This window comes from Homo sapiens, chromosome 1 (genome assembly GCF_000001405.40).
Source record: "Homo sapiens chromosome 1, GRCh38.p14 Primary Assembly".
Taxonomy (NCBI): domain Eukaryota; kingdom Metazoa; phylum Chordata; class Mammalia; order Primates; family Hominidae; genus Homo; species Homo sapiens.
The window spans coordinates 96,753,572-96,770,478 of record NC_000001.11 but is presented as its reverse complement, the minus strand read 5'-3'; the positions used below and the strand labels follow the sequence as shown (position 1 = coordinate 96,770,478).

The following is a 16,907-nucleotide window of genomic DNA, read 5'->3' as shown; positions in this document are numbered from 1 at the left end:
TTTTCACACCCACAAATCTATTCTTGCAACAAATGCTAGAGAAAATGTAAACATTTTCTAGCATCAGAATTTTACCACTTCTACCCTAGAGAATGTAAGATTTCCAAGTCATTTTAAAAGCAGTATAATTATATAGAGACAAAGAACAAAATTACAAATTAAATGTCAGATTAACCTCAAGTATATAAAAGGGAGTGTTAAATTTCATAAATTCTTCTAAATGGTATCATTTAACATTTTTAAATAAAATTTCATATTCTCATAAAGCTTAAGGAAAGATGCGACTAGTACCCCTGCTGATTTCTGATACCAAAGAACAGAGCCACAGTAAAAGAAATACTTCATTTGTATTTTCCACAATTTCATAACAATTATTCAATTAGAGCCCTAAAGTCAATTCAAAAGACAAAGTTTAAAAACTATAGTGATTCACTCACTTTGGCTACCTAGCATTAGTTTCCCACAGACATCTACTCGAAAAAGTGAGAATAAGACTTCTGTTCTTTAAGAAAAATAACCTACTATTTTCTCCCTTTTACAATTAATTCACACCTGCTGGATAGTTTGGGGTTTAACATTTCATAAACCCTGAAAGAAGTGTACCTGATTTTTTCCTTTCAGCATAAGGATGTTGGTCACCTTACCAAAAGGTAAGCCTAAAGCAATAACTTCAGTTTCTGTTACTTCCCCAGGTAATTTTCGAATATGAAGTACACGAGAAGGAGCACCATCCATTTTATCTTCTCCTTTAAATTTTTTACTATCATTACCATTGGCTGAAAGACATTAAAAAACAGTCCTTATATATCAACAATAAAAGAATGTATGAATTTTCCTATTTGTGTAAAAAAACTACAAATTTCCAAAAAGAACTTAAAAACATAGCTGAGAATACTTAAATAATTCTTGAAAATTCAAATGCCAGGCTTTCAAAGGAATAAAATCATATCCACCTATTATTATTAAATGAAATTATCAACTATTTAAGATTGCTGTTAATGTTTCTTAACAGTATTATAAAGAGTAATTATTAATAAGCAACAACATTAAAATGTAATCTCATAAAGAAACTGTCCAATGACTAAAGAATACAATCACAGTCATGTGCCACATAACTACATTTTGGTCATTGACAGGCCACATATACAATGGTGGTCCCATAAGATTATAATACCATATTTTTATTGTACCTTTTCTGTTTAGATACATCAATACTTATTACTGTGTTGCAACTGCCTCCAGTATTCAGAACAGTAACATGCTGTCAAATTTGTTGCCTAGGAGCAAAAGGCTACATATACCATATAGCCTACATGTGTAGCAGGTTTGTGCAAATGTACTCTATGACATTTATGCAGTGACAAAATTACCTAACAATGCATTTCTCCGAGAGTATCCTCATCACTATCCCCAAGATTTATGACTGTATCTTGTAATTTAATCATCTTATAATGAACTAATATGAACATTTTTAAAAAGTGAAAAAACTGGTTTGACCAAAATTAGGAAGATTATAATTTTACCTGAGAAATTATAAATTGTTTGATTTGAAAAATGTACTTGAAGGTGGGATCAAAGAATGTAAAGTTTATAAAAATGATAATGCAGTCAATCCATATTATGGCTTATCTACAATGAGCCTCTCCTGATATATTACTATTGCCGTCTAAACTACCTAATATTTTGTGACTATTAACATCAATATACTCTAAATCACTCATGAACTTAATTACCTTATTCTGTTACCGTGAGATTTAAAGTAAAGTAACATAATTCAATCAACAAATTAGTTAACTGTCTTCATTCCAAAACTTCACCAAAAAATAAAAATATTATTCAAAATGCCTATAAAATAGGTAATATTTAAATACAGTTGTTTGAAGGACTTGCAGTATATCTACTATGCCAGATCAATGGTTCTTAGTCTTTTAGGATCTCAAGGATATTTCTGAGACTTAGCTAAAATGAAGGATCTTGACACATTCAGAAATATACATGTATACTCCATTTTGTATAAAACTTTAGGTAATTTATGGTATTTCCTAAAACATTCAACACAACCTATAAACTATATAATGTGTTTGTGTATGTTCAACAACATCTATAAGACTGTCAGATTATCTTGGTCTCCAACGTATCTTCAAAATTAATTCACTCATTAATTCCTTAAACATTTACTGGGTATTCAGGGATGTGTCTAGCAATGTTTTACGTTCTGAGGGTACAGAGAGTGAACAAGATGATTATATGATTCCTGATACCTTATAGTAGGGAGCTGGACTAACTAGTACCTGAACCAGATACTTTCTACGGTATATGCTGTGAGGTAAAACAGTGATGTGCTTAAAAGTTACTTTGTCTAGGACTGGAAGATTGATAGTAGTAATGACTTTATTGGATGATCAGAGAAGGTATCTCTAAGTGATAATATATGGACTCAAGCTATACTTAAGTCATATTTTACTCTAGGAGTTTCACTTAGGTTTATATACTTGAACGGCAAGCCAATGCATTTAAAAATCCCCTTAGGTTGTCTTTGTACAGAAGAGTAAGCTCTGGCTTCTGAATATATTGCCCTGAAAATCTTGGCTGGGTAGCTCTTCACCACTCCAGAAATATGAAAAAACTACAGGAAGCTATCACATGTCCTTTCACTACTGACAAAGATTTGTGTGCGCACAGGGCACCTGAATTTGTCAAAAGGAAGAGACTGAACTTTGCATTTTGTAGTATCTTATCTAACAAAATCATCTCTAGGCCCGTTAATTGAAAATGTAAGCTAAAGCACAGAATCCAAAAAATACACATATACTTTAAAACACATAATGGGCACACACAACAATCGGCATCAGTCAACAAGGAACACATATTATTCTGATACAGGACTAAGACCTTTTTTTGACAAAGCAGTCTGAGTACAGAAACTTGATAATTTGTTCTTGTTCATTAGTTTGTTTGAATAACGAGAACAAATACTTCACAATCCAACCTAAAGCCCCATGTGTTATAGTTATGGTATCAGGATACTCAAAAAAGCAAATTTCAGTTTCTCCTAATTTGGTCTGTCCTTTTCCTTCTGGGAGAAAGACAAGGAAAAAAAAAGACCAATAAAGATACTACCTATCACTGTACCCATAAGGAGAAAAAAGGCTTCCCCTTTCAAATGATTTTCCAAAAATAATTCCCAAAAGGCAAAAGCCTGCCTAAACCTATTATTAAGGAAATTAAATAATTTATTTTGGATTTGTGTTGGATGTTTTCTGGATAGTGGATATTAAGCAGAAGTAAAATAGCTGAATAACACAGAAAGAACGTAGGAAACTTCTGAGAATCAAAGGATAAGACAAAGATCTTGACTTCTTGGAAAAAATATAGAAAAGATGTAATTTTATTTTGCATCAATATTTAATATTCACTGCTAATTAACTACATGCCGGGCAATTTACAACTCTCAGATTGCTATCATTATGACCTATCAACCCCATTTACAGGTAACAATTAGTTAAATGCCCAAGATTAGATAGTTACTAAGTGGTATAGACAGGAAGTAGCAGAGAAAGGATTAAACTCAGGGAGCATGATTCCATAGTCTGTGCTCTTCAACAACTACACTATAGTAGGATCTCAAAAACAAACATTACATTACATACAGGTTGCCTAAAAAAGATCTGTCCTCTTCTCCCAAAGACCAAGCCAGTTACTGTAGTAAACTATCAACATTTACACTACCTGACACTCCCTCAGTTAATAGCTTCCATGAGGTGACTACTAAGTATTCATATCTTAGTGCCAAATATTATAAAAGTCTTCATTTTAAATAAATGATACTATGAGAATGTGAAACTGGGAATGGGGGCTCCTTTAATAATATAACAAAGCCTATTTTCAAATATAAACACACTCCAGCAACACCGAAAAAGGGTCCAAAAATGGAAACATTAGCTTATGAAGCATTAGGTCTGCCTGTGTTACAGTTCTACAATTCTTCAGCATCTTCCCATGATCCTGAATGGGAAAGGTTTACTGGGGGAATGAAAGAGATCTTTCCCTTCCATTCCTCCAGTAAACCCAGAACTTTTGTTTGGGCGTGTAAAACCAGTAATAATTCAAATGTTTATGTTCAGTTAAGAAGGCATGAGGTAATGCTTTTATTTATGCATATAAATTTTATTCATTGTATATGAATGTAAAAAATCTTTAAGCACACCATTTTCCATACATTATTCAACTCTTTCAAAGCCTCTTGCTTAGGGAAGATGTTCATGTAATCACGGATTCAAAGCAAATAAAATTTTAAAATGGTTTCTACTTGAATACTTCTCTTCCAAACTCAAAACCAGTTTTTCACCTCAATTCTAAAGCCAGCATCTTCACCTCTGATCAGTACATCACTTTTCTCCTGCTGACTGACCTTTGTTCTCCACTAGCTTTTACCTGCAATTTTTACATAAATGGGTGTCGGCAAGGATCATGGGTAATTTGTTAAATCACCACATCCATCAGTCAACAAGGAACTGTGAACCCTCTCTTCCTCACTGAATTTCTCTAATAGCACCCCTAAAAACTTCAATTTCTACTTTTCTAATTTCCCGACTCATTTGATACTTGCTTTGAATCCTGATTACTCATTCATTCCCCAAAATTGTTAGTTTCCCATGCTGTTTTTGTTCCGATACTCTACCTATCTTTACTTATTAAATATAAACACTCTAGCACTGGGTTTCACAGTATCTATCTATCTATCTATCTATCTATCTATCTATCTATCTAAGACAGAGTCTTGCTGTATTGCCAGGCTGGAGTGCAGTGGCATGATCTTGGTTGACTACAACCTCCACTTCCCAGGTTTAAGTGATTCTCGTGCCACAGCCTCCCATGTAGCTGGGAATTCAGGTGTGCACCACCACACCCAGCTAATTTTTCTATTTTCAGTAGAGATGGGGTTTCACCATGTTGGCCAGGCTGGTCTCGAACTCCTGGCCTCAAGTGATCCACCTGCCTCAGCCTCCCAAAGTGCTGAAATACAGGCATGAGCCACAGCACCTGGCCTACTTTCTCATATAATTTGTAAATTATTTTAGTCCTACTCATTCACCGTTATACTTTCAACTGTGTACAAATATAAAATACGACACGGCAAAACCTTATACTTCTGTCCAATGAAAATCAGTGACAAAACTTAGGTACATCTTCATTCTCCAAGTCTTTCAGAGACACACATTTATAAAAGTTTTCCTAACTCTCTTTATCAAATATGAAACTGAGAGGCAAAGAAGTTTTAATTCTAAGCAGTTTTAGACTTCAAGGCAAAGCAGTGTTTTCTAGCTTTAGAAAAACAAAAAACAAAATAAAAAGACTCTAAGCTAAGAAAAAAAAAATGAATGCTGCTACTCTTTCCTGTATGAGAAACAAATTCCAAAGAAGAGTTAAAGAGAAAAAAAGCAGGTAGGTGCAGATAGGTGGTACTTCTGCTATTCTGTTGGCTGTTTCTGCAACAGCCACCACGCAAAAAGCCTCACCAGGTTTCCGTAAAAGGTAACTATTAACTCTTGTATTTCCAAGTAGTTGTGTGGTGTAGTTGTCAAAAGCATATTAGGCATGAGCTGGAAAAACACAGAAGGCACCTAGAGAAGGCTCTCACTACCTTTATATACAAGAAGATAAGTTGTTAAAACCCTCATAAATAGTAACACTATGAAATAAGGCTCTCACTACCTTTATATGCAAGAAGATGAGTTGTTAAAACCTTTATAAATAGTAAAACTATGAAATAATCTACTGGAATACTTTCAAAACATTATAGCAAAAAGAATGACATCACCTCAAAAATATGTCTGTAAAAGTTAAAATGAAAATCTTAAAAGAGTTCTAAGTAAAATGTTCCAGACTCTATGGAATGGTTTAACTGCTTTCAGGTAGAGCAAAATGTCATGTTTAGCAATAATTTTCAGAAAATCCTGCTATTACAGAGTAACAATCACCACTGGCAGAAATATGTATACCTAAAGGGATATTCCAGTTCCGTAGCTACAAAGAAATCACTAGAAAATTAAAGAGACTGTACCTTAGAATTGTCAAGCCTCATAGTCACTGCTAAATAGTTACAAATTTAACAAAATCAAATTCTAATGCTACTTAGGAACAGTTGTATTTTTGAAATATTTCACTTTTATATCTCTTGAAGGAACCAATTCATTAGAAAATGTCCTTACTGTATCAATTTATTAAACATTTATTTACCTGAGATTAAGTTTCTAATAACATGAAATTTTTTCACCTGTAAAATTATTTTTTTCTTTGACAAAAAGCACCTATTCAACAAGTACAGAGAAAGAAAAGTCTGCACAGATAAGGGAAAGGCTGTTGAGACAGATGCCTTAGGAAACAATTCTACAGTAAAATCTATTACAAGAAATATTTTAGATAAAGCTGGAAGCTGGAACATAAAAATGAAATCCTGTACTATATCTGATAACCATAAAAGTGTCCTTGTAACATTGTCTACCAACGTCCTTTTGAGTCATCTGAATTACATGGAGTATTTTTCCAGGCAAATATAATCACCAATTTTTAAAGGTCTTTTATGCTATTTGCTCTTATAAGCAACAGTATTCAAATTGGTGTCTCTTAGAATATATGCAGACTTTCATTTTTGTCAGAAAAAAAATAGAAAAATCTTAAAACTCAGTATTTCCTCTGTACATGGAGGTTAAATAAACTGACTTCTTGTATTAAAACAAGGCTTAAAGGAATTTTATGCCATCATTACAAAAAGATTAGATTGATTCCTTGGTCATGAAGTACATTATATATCATCCCTAAAGCATAGTTAAAAAAACAGAACAGCCCTCCCCCTCCCCCTCCCCCTCCCCCTCCCTCCTCTCCCCACGGTCTCCCTCTCCCTCTCTTTCCACAGTCTCCCTCTGATGACGAGCCGAAGCTGGACTGTACTGCTGCCATCTCGACTCACTGCAACCTCCCTGCCTGATTCTCCTGCCTCAGCCTGCCGAGTGCCTGCTATTGCAGGCACGCGCCGCCACGCCTGACTGGTTTTCGTATTTTTTTGGTGGAGACGGGGTTTCGCTGTGTTGGCCGGGCTGGTCTGCAGCTCCTAACCGCGAGTGATCCGCCAGCCTCGGCCTCCCGAGGTGCCGGAATTGCAGACGGAGTCTGGTTCACTCAGTGCTCAATGGTGCCCAGGCTGGAGTGCAGTGGCGTGATCTCGGCTCGTTACAACCTCCACCTCCCAGCCGCCTGCCTTGGCCTCCCAAAGTGCCGAGATTGCAGCCTCTGCCCAGCCGCCACCCCGTTTGGGAAGTGAGGAGCGTCTCTGCCTGGCCGCCCATCGTCTGGAACGTGAGGAGCCCCTCTGCCTGGCTGCCCAGTCTGGAAAGAAAGGAGGTCTCTGCCCGGCCGCCATCCCATCTAGGAAGTGAGGAGCGCCTCTTCCCGGCCGCCATCCCATCTAGGAAGTGAGGAGCGTCTCTGCCCGGCCGCCCATCGTCTGAGATGTGGGGAGCGCCGCTGCCCCGCCGCCCCGTCTGGGATGTGAGGAGCGCCTCTACCCGGCCGCGACCCCGTCTGGGAGGTGAGGAGCGTCTCGGCCCGGCCGCCCCATCTGAGAAGCGAGGAGTCCCTCCGCCCAGCAGCCGCCCCATCTGAGAAGTGAGGAGCCCCTCCGCCCGGCAGCCACGCCGTCTGGGAAGTGAGGAGCGTCTCCGCCCGGCAGTCACCCCGTCTGGGAGGGAGGTGGGGGTCAGCCCCCGCCAGGCCAGCCGCCCCATCCAGGAGGGAGGTGGGGGGGTCAGACCCCCGCCCGGCCAGCCGCCCCTTCCGGGAGGTGAGGGGCGCCTCTGCCCGGCCGCCCCTACTGGGAAGTGAGGAGCCCCTCTGCCCGGCCAGCCGCCCCGTCCGGGAAGGAGGTCGGGGGGTCAGCCCCCAGCCCGGCCAGCCGCCCCGTCCGGGAGGGAGGTGGCGGGGGTCAGCCCCCAGCCCGGCCAGCCGCCCCGTCCGGGAGGGAGGTGGGGGGGTCAGCCCCCCGCCCGGCCAGCTGCCCCATCCGGGAGGGAGGTGGGGGGGTCAGCCCCCCGCCCGGCCAGCCGCCCCATCCGGGAGGTGAGGGGCGCCTCTGCCCGGCTGCCCCTACTGGGGAGTGAGGGGCGCCTCTGCCCGGCCGCCCCTACTGGGAAGTGAGGAGCCCCTCTGCCCGGCCACCACCCCGTCTGGGAGGTGTACCCAACAGCTCATTGAGAACGGGCCATGATGACAATGGCGGTTTTGTGGAATAGAAAGGGGGGAAAGGTGGGGAAAAGATTGAGAAATCGGATGGTTGCCGTGTCTGTGTAGAAAGAGGTAGACATGGGAGACTTTTCATTTTGTTCTGTACTAAGAAAAATTCTTATCCTGTTGATCTGTGACCTTACCCCCAACCCTGTGCTCTCTGAAACATGTGCTGTGTCCACTCAGGGTTAAATGGATTAAGGGCGGTGCAAGATGTGCTTTGTTAAACAGATGCTTGAAGGCAGCATGCTCGTTAAGAGTCATCACCACTCCCTAATCTCAAGGACCCAGGGACACAAACACTGCGGAAGTCCGCAGGGTCCTCTGCCTAGGAAAACCAGAGACCTTTGTTCACTTGTTTATCTGCTGACCTTCCCTCCACTATTGTCCTATGACCCTGCCAAATCCCCCTCTGCGAGAAACACCCAAGAATGATCAATAAAAAATAAAAAACAAAAAACAAACAAAAAAAAACAGAACAGTAGCGGATTATTCTTTTTTCCCACCAAAAACGAGTCTCCTTTTCCTACTTTTCCCCCTTTGTTAATGGCATCATCTTCTACCAACCCAGTGATTCTAAGACAAAACTCTTTAATATTATTCCAAACTTGTCTTCTTCCAGATAACTCGTTTTATCATTTCCTGCATTCTCCTTCCAAGACCCTAAAATTCAGGACCTTGGTATCTTTGGAATGAACTACCGTAATGTTTTAAAACTATTCTCCCCTCTATACAATACTGATCCTACCTGTGAAATACAAATGGAACAAAAATTCTTTCTAAAATGTAAATCTGTTAAAGTCCAAGCTACACACACACACACACACACACACACACACACACACACACACATCAAATCCCACATCTAGGCCCCTGCTACATGGACTCACCTAGTCATTCCCAATCTCATATTTCTCATTACAGCAAGACACAACTACTGGAAATTCAGAGTTCTCAGAGATAATCTACTGCTTCAAACAACTTTTGGATTTGTTTTGCAACTTAGTTTATTAACATAGGACGTTTCCATCACACCAGAAAATGCCACCATATTCCCTTTCTGTTAATCTCCAACATTCTGGTTTCTAAACAAAAAATTAATGATCTGCTCTTAAACTTTCAAGAAATGGAATCACACTATGTACTCTTTCAGGTCTGTCTGGTTTCTTTTGCTTCATACAATGCTTACTATTCACCCATGTTTTCGCATGTACTACTAACCATTCTTTTGTTATTAGTAAGTAGTAATATACTATATGATTATACCACAATTTATCCATTTTCCTGTTGATAAACATTTGGGTTATTTCAAGTTTGGGACCATTATCAGTAAAGTTTTTGATACACATACAAGTTTTACAGCAAACATGTTCTTACTGGGTAAAAAACTAAAAGTAGAAGTTATGGACCATAAAATAGGTTAATGTTTAACTCCGTAAGAAAATAGTAAACTAGGTCAGACGCAGTGGCTCAGGCCTGTAATCCCAGCACTCTGGGAGGCCGACGTGGGCAGATCACAACGTCAAGAGAGCAAGACCATCCTGGCCAACATGGCGAAACCCAGTCTCTACTAAAAATACAAAAAATTAGCCGGGTGTGGTGGCGTGCACCTGTAGTTCCAGCTACTCAGGAGGCTGAGGCAGGAGAATCGCTTGAACCCAGGAGGCGGAGGTTGCAGTAAGCTGAGATCATGCCACTGCATTCCAGCCTGGTGACAGAGCAAGACTCTGTCTCAAAAAAAAAAAAAAAAAAAAAAAAGCAAACTATTTTCCCAACTATGTTATATACTCAGCAGTAATTAAAGACAGTTCCACATCTTCATCAACATTCGGTATTGCCAATCTATTTAATTTTAGCCATTCTAGTTGGTGTAAATTCTATCTCTAATGGTTTTGACTTGTGATCACCTGATGACTAACATTATCTTTTCATGTGCTTGTTACCCATCCTTATAATGTCACTTCTTTTGCCACTTAAAAAAAAATTGGGCTGCTCATATTTATTGATTGGAGGAGTTTTTTTTTTACAAGTCCTTTGGGATACAAGTCCTTTGTCATTGATATGGTTTGGCTGTGTCCCCACCCACATCTCCTCTTGAATTCCCATGTGTTGTGGGAGGGACCTGGTGGGAGTTAACTGAATCATGGGGGCAGGTCTTTCCAATGCTGTTCTCGTGACAGTGAAGTAAGTCTCATGGTTTTAAAAAGGGGAGAGTTTCCCCGCACAAGCTCTCTTTTCTTTGCCTGTTGCCATCTACGTAAGATGTGACTTGCTCCTCCTTGCCTTCCACCATGATTATGAGGCTTCCCCAGTCACATAGAATTGTAAATTCATTAAACTGGTTTCTTTCATAAATTGCCCGCCCAGTCTCGGGTACGTCTTTATCAGCAGCATGAAAATGGACTAATACAGTCATATGCATGTATTGATACACAAATATTATATTCTCCAAGTCTGTGCCTTGTCTTTTCAATGTCTTAACAATGTCTTTTGATGAAGCAGAAATTTCCCATTTTGATGGAGTCAAGTTTATATATTCCTTTAAGATTTTTCTATTTTAAGAAATCTTCATTTATCCCAAAGTTGCAAGTATATCCTATGCTTTTTCCTAAAAACTCTATATATTAGTTTTTATATAATTAATCTCATTGTTTTATACAGAATGATGTAGGGTTTAAGTTTCTTTTGCTTTTTTGTATGTATATTCAGCTGTTCTAGCACATCTGTTGAAAGGCCTTCTCTTTCTTCACTGAGTGATCAAGGCAACTTTAATGCATGAGTTATTCCCTGAACGCTATTCTGTGTCACTAACTATGCTAGTAGTAAACTGTTTTGGATTAACTACAGGTTTGTAGTGAGTCTTGAGAACTGTGGCAAAATTTACTTTTTCAAAATGGTTTTAATTGTCCTAGCTCCTTTTTATTTCCACATAAATTTTAGAATGTACTCTCAATTTATAAGTCTTTATAGATTCAATGCCATCCCAATTTAGGGAGAACTGGCATGTTAACATATTGAGCCTTCTAATTCATGAACATGGTCTACGTCTTCATGTAAGTCTTTTTAAAACTTCTCTTAGCAGTGTTTCATATTGGTGTAGATGTCTTACATATCTTTTGTCAAATTTTTTTCCTGATATTTTGTCTGATACTTTTATAAACAGATTTTTTAAAATTTCATTTTCTAAGAATTTGCTGCCAAGTATAAGGAGACTATTTCTGTACATAGAACTTGTATCCTATAATTATTCTAAATTCACTTATTAGTTCTACCAAATCTGTTGTAGAGTCCTTCAGGTCTTCTACTTTAAAAAGCATGTTGAATGGTGAATAAGACAGTTTTCTTTCTTCCTTTACAATCTTTATGTCTTTTATTTCACCTGCCTTAATGTAAGCAGAAAGCTAAGGGGAAAAATTGAGAAAACAGACATCCTTGCTTCATTTCTGTTTTTAAGAAGAAAACATTCAATATTTCTCCATTAAGTATGAAATTTGTTGTAGGTTCTTAGTAGATACCCCTTATTTACATTGTAAAAGCTCCTTCTCTTCCTAGTTTTCTGAGAGAAATTCTTCTTTCTTCATTCTATCATTGTGACAAATTACACTGAGTTCATTTTCAAATGTTAAACAAACCTTACAATCCTGCGATAAGTCTCAGAATTGTCTCTCATATTCTACCGGAGGTGATTTACCAACATTTTCTTAAGAATATATGCATTTAGGTTAATGAGAAATACTAGTCTGAAATCTTGATATATTACCCTTGTCAGGTTTTGCTGTCAGTTATAGTGGTTTCATAAAGTGAACAGGGTAGTATTCCCTCCTCCATTTTCAAAGACAGCTAGTATTCCTTTAAAATTTCATAAAATTCAATAGTGAAACCATCTATGACTAGAGTAATCTTTGTGGAAAGATTTTTTTAATTATAAATTCCAATTTGTATAATACAGTAGTATATAGCTGTTAAGCTATATACTTAAGTCAGTTTTGCATTTGTCAAGAAACTTTTCATCTAAGTTGCTGAATTTGTTAGCCTTAACAACATTACTAATATTGACTTATTTTCCTATTATATTCTATATATCTCTGCTTTTATTGAAAGTGCTATCTCCACTTTATATTATTTATGTTATACTATTATACTCTGCATATATCCACTTTCTCTGAAAGTGATTATCTCGACCTTGATTTCCAGTATTGGTAATTTATGTCTTTTTCCTTGGTCAGTCTTAAATTGGGAGTTTTAAACCTTTTTTTGTAATATAGGTATTTGAAGACATACTTTTCACCATACACACCCTTGGGTAGTATCCAACAAATTTTGATATATTTTCATTCAGTCAAAAATATGTCCTTGTGGTAACACTTCTATAATCCATGTATTGTTCACGATTGTGTAATTTCTAATATTTAGTACTTTCCTAGATGTCTATTTTTGATTTCTAATTTAATTCCACTATAGTCAGTCAGATACATTAGCTGTCAATCATTTGAAATTTATTGAGTTATTTTATAATCCAATATAAGGTCTATCATTGTGAATGTTCTATGTACACTTGAAGTTATTTTACAGTTACTGGGTATAGTTTTATAAATGTGAGTTAAGCCAACATGATAGCACTTTTCAAATTATGTATCTTTTTATTTGGGGGCTAGGACTGTACTATCCTATCAATTGCCATAAATTATGTTTTAAAAAACCAGGCTATGATTGTGGATTTTTGTTTCTCTACTTAGTTCTGTGATGTTTTTCTTAATATACTTTGATTTGTTATTATTGGCATACAAATTAAGAAATGTTTTCTGATAAACTGACCCTTCAACATTGTGAAATATGCTTTTTTATATCTGGTAATATTTGTCTTAAATTTTTCTGTCTAGTAATATAATCATATCAACTTTCTTGTGCTTACTGTTTGCACGGAATATCATTTTCCATCTTTTTACTTTCAACCTGCATCTTGATATTTCTACCTGACCCTCGTATTGACAGTGTAGTTAGGCCTTGCTTTTTAATCAAGTCTGACAATCTTTGTCTTTTAACTGGACTACTTAGACCAGTAATATCCAAAAGAAATGCAATGCAAGCGCATGAGTAAATTTTCAAAGACATTTTTCAGAGTAAGTTTAGGTACACAGCAAAATGGAGAGGAAAGCAGAGAGATTTCCCTGCCTCCTGCCCCAAATAGCCTCCCCTTTATCAACATCTCCCACCAGATGGCACATTGTTACAACTGATGAACCTACACTGACACATTATAATCACTCAAAGTCTGTAGTTACCTCCAGGTTCACTCCAAGTGTCTTACATTCTATGGGTTTGGAAAAATGTATGACATGTATCTATCATTATAGTATCATGCAGAATATTTTCAGTACCCTAAAATCCTCTGTACTCCACCAGTTCATCCCTCCCTCCACCCCTAAACCCTAGCAACCACTGATTTTTACTGTCTCCATAATTTTGCTTTTTCCAGAATGTCATATAGTTGGAATCATATGGTATGCAGAATTTTCAGAGTGGCTTCTTTTATTTAGTAATGTTCACTGAAGGTTCTCCATGGCTTGATAGCTCATTTCCATTTAGTGCTGATTAACATTATACTGTCTGAATATACACCACAGTTTATTTGGCCATTCACCTCCTAAAGGACTTCTTGGTTGCTATGAAGTTCTGGCAACTATAAAGAAAGGTGCTATAAACATCCATGTGCTACTTTCTGCGCAGACTAAGTTTTCAACTCCTTTAGGCAAATACCAGGGAGCACAACTGCTGGATCATACAATGAAAGTATATTTGAGATGGAGTCTCGCTCTTGTTGCCCAGGTTGGAGTGAAATGGGCGTGATCCTGGCTCACTGCAACCTCCACCTCCTGGGTTCAAGTAATTCTCCTGCTTCAGCCTCCTGAGTGGCTGGGATTACAGGCATGCACCACCACGCCTAGCTAATTTTGTATTTTTTAGTAGAGATCGGGTTTCTCCATGTTGGCCAGGCTGGTTTTGAACTTCTGACCTCAGGTGATCCGCCTGCCTTGGCTTCCCAAAGCGCTGGGATTACAGGCGTAAGCCACTGTGCCCGGCCGTATAGTTTTCTAAGAAATTGCCAAATTGTCTTCCAAAGTGGCTGTACCACTCTGCATTCCACTGAGCAGTAAGTGAGAGTTCCTGTTGCTCCACATCCTTGCCAGCATTTGGTGTTATCAATGTTCTGAAGTTCGGCCATTCTAGGATGTGTATATGTATTTAAATTATAAAATTTGACAAGTTTTGACATATGCATACATCCATAAAACCACCATCACAATAATTTATATGTCCATCACTCCCGAGTTTTCCTGTGTCCCTTTGCCACCCCTCCTGCCTGTCCTTTCCCACTCTTAAACTCCTAAGAACCATGAATTTGCTTTAGATTAGTTTGCATTTCCCAGAGTTTTATATAAATGGAATCATACAGGATGTAGTCTTTTTTTCTCCCATCTTTTACATAACATAATTGTTTGGAGATTCATTCTTGCTGTTGTGTCTATCAATAGCTCATTCTACATGGCTGTTGTATTCCACTGTATGGAAAAGCATATGATGCCAAAACAGGAATCTACTTATTAGTTCATCTGTTGATGAATGTTTGTTTCACATTTTGGTGATTACAAATAAAATGGCTATGAACATTAACATGAGAGTTTTTTAATGAATAGATGCCTTCTTTTCTCTTGGGTAAATGCTTAGGAGACAAATAACCTGGATCATGGAGAAACTACCAGATTGTTTTCCAAAGTACTACGATTTTACATTCCCATCAGCAGTATTGTGAATATTAACATTCTTCCACATTCTTCCCAACTCATGCTTTCCAAGATGGCACTCTTTTTAATTTTAGTCACTATTAATAGGTTTGTAATATTATCTCACTGTAGTTTTAATTTTCATTTCCCTAATAACTAATGATGCTGACCAGCTTTTTCACGTGCTTACTTACCATCTGTGTATCTTTTGTGCTGTACTACCTGTTCAAATATTTTGGCCAATTCATTGAGTAGTTTGTTGCTTGACTGCTGATTTTACATATACTGAATCTTTTAATATTCTGGATAGAAGTCCTTTATCAGCTATATGCTTTGTTATGATGTTCTTCCAGTTTATGGCTTGTCTTTTCATTCCCTAGCAGTTTCTTTTGAATGGCAGAAGATTTTAATTCTGATGTCAAATTCCATTTTTTAATAGATTGTGCTTTTAGGGTCATATCAAATACATTCCTGCTTAATCCAAAGTCACGAAGATTTTCTGTATTTTTTTCTAGAGATTTTATAATTTTTGGTTTTACATTAGGCCATGATCCATTTGGAGTTAATTTTCATATGCAGTGTGAGATACAGATCCAAGATCATTTTTTTGCATACGGATAGCTCCAACTGCTGTAGCACCCTTTGTTGGAAGTCTACTTTTTCTCCACTGAATTGACTTTGCACCTTTGTCAAAAATCAGTTATCCATAATTGTGTGAGTTAACTTCTGAACTCTCTGCTCTGTCTCACTGACCTATTTATCTTTATGTTATTATGATGCTATTTTTAATTACCGTAGCTTTGCAGTAATTCTTGAAAACTGGTAGTCAATGCTCCAATTTTTCCTCTATTGGCTTTTCGTTATACTTCTTTTTATCTTTTTAAATGAGATTACACTTAGAATTTTGATATGCAACCTTAACAGAATCTTTTTATGTTAGAGTTAACACTGTATCACTTCAGGTAAAATATAAGAACCTTACCACTGAAGAATTCCATTTATCTTCACTTTGTACTAACTGTTGTCATATAAACATCCATTTACATAATAAACCCCATAATACAAAGTTGTTGTTTACATAAAGGCTTTCAAAGAAACTGATAGGAAAAGAGAGAGCCCTTTTAAAATTTATACACATATTAACCATTCCCAGTACTCCTCTTATCCCCTGTAGAGCCAAGTTATGCCATTCAGTCTAAAGAAATTCGCTTTTTTTCCCCCTTTAATACGAGGTGTTGGTCTCCTGTTAGACGTTTTTTTCGCAGCTGTTTAGATTTGCTCTTCATTTCTAGTTTTCAATATTTTGACTACTATGTGTCTAAGTATGGTTCTTTTTATTTAGCCTACATGAGGAGTTTACCTGAGCTTCTTAGGAATGTAAGTTGATATATTTTATTCAAATTTTAGAAGTTCTCAGTCATTACTATCTCAAACAGATAGATGTTTTATTCCCCCACATTCTCACTCTGAAATTCAACTTACATGTCAGACTGCTTCATTGTCCATTAGATATACTTTCTCCTCTCTGACAGATTTAATCACTGTATTCAACAGTATTCAAGTTCACTAACATTTCTTCTATTGTCTCCAATCTGCTACTAGTTCCAACCAGTGAATCAGTCCCAACTATTTCAAAAACTGTATTTTTCAATTAGAATATTTCTACATGCTTTCTTTATAGTTTTTTATCTCTTCAACACACTCCTCCATCACTCATTATTTCAATCTTTTCCTTTACAGCTTAAAATACTTATCGTCCTTGTCTGCTAATTCTAACTCTAGGTCATTTTGGAATCTGTTCCTATTAAATGTGTTCTTTATATTTCATGGGTTACTTTCCTGCTT

At 37.5% G+C, this 16,907-nt stretch overlaps 1 protein-coding gene across 16 annotated transcripts in view, besides 1 other annotated feature; it reads right to left on the bottom strand.

The window, feature by feature from the left end:
- The window catches only part of PTBP2 (polypyrimidine tract binding protein 2), a 101,956-nt gene that overhangs the window by 53,261 nt on the left and 31,788 nt on the right, over window positions 1–16,907 (bottom strand). For all 16 annotated transcript variants that reach the window (NR_125357.2, NR_125356.1, XM_011541876.3 and 13 more), the window contains one exon: window positions 604–776. Coding sequence is in view for 14 of the 16 variants with exons in the window: in XM_011541876.3 (XP_011540178.1) it covers window positions 604–776 (173 nt within the window). In the remaining 2 variants the exon portion in view is untranslated. The remainder of the gene's footprint in view (window positions 1–603; window positions 777–16,907) is intronic.
- Window positions 8,043–8,750: an enhancer, noted in NCBI's record as "NANOG-H3K27ac hESC enhancer chr1:97227285-97227992 (GRCh37/hg19 assembly coordinates)". NCBI's record gives its function as "activates a minimal SCP1, AML or CMV promoter by ChIP-STARR-seq in primed H9 embryonic stem cells {active_cell/tissue: H9 hESC(primed)}" and the evidence as "EXISTENCE:reporter gene assay evidence [ECO:0000049][PMID:30033119]".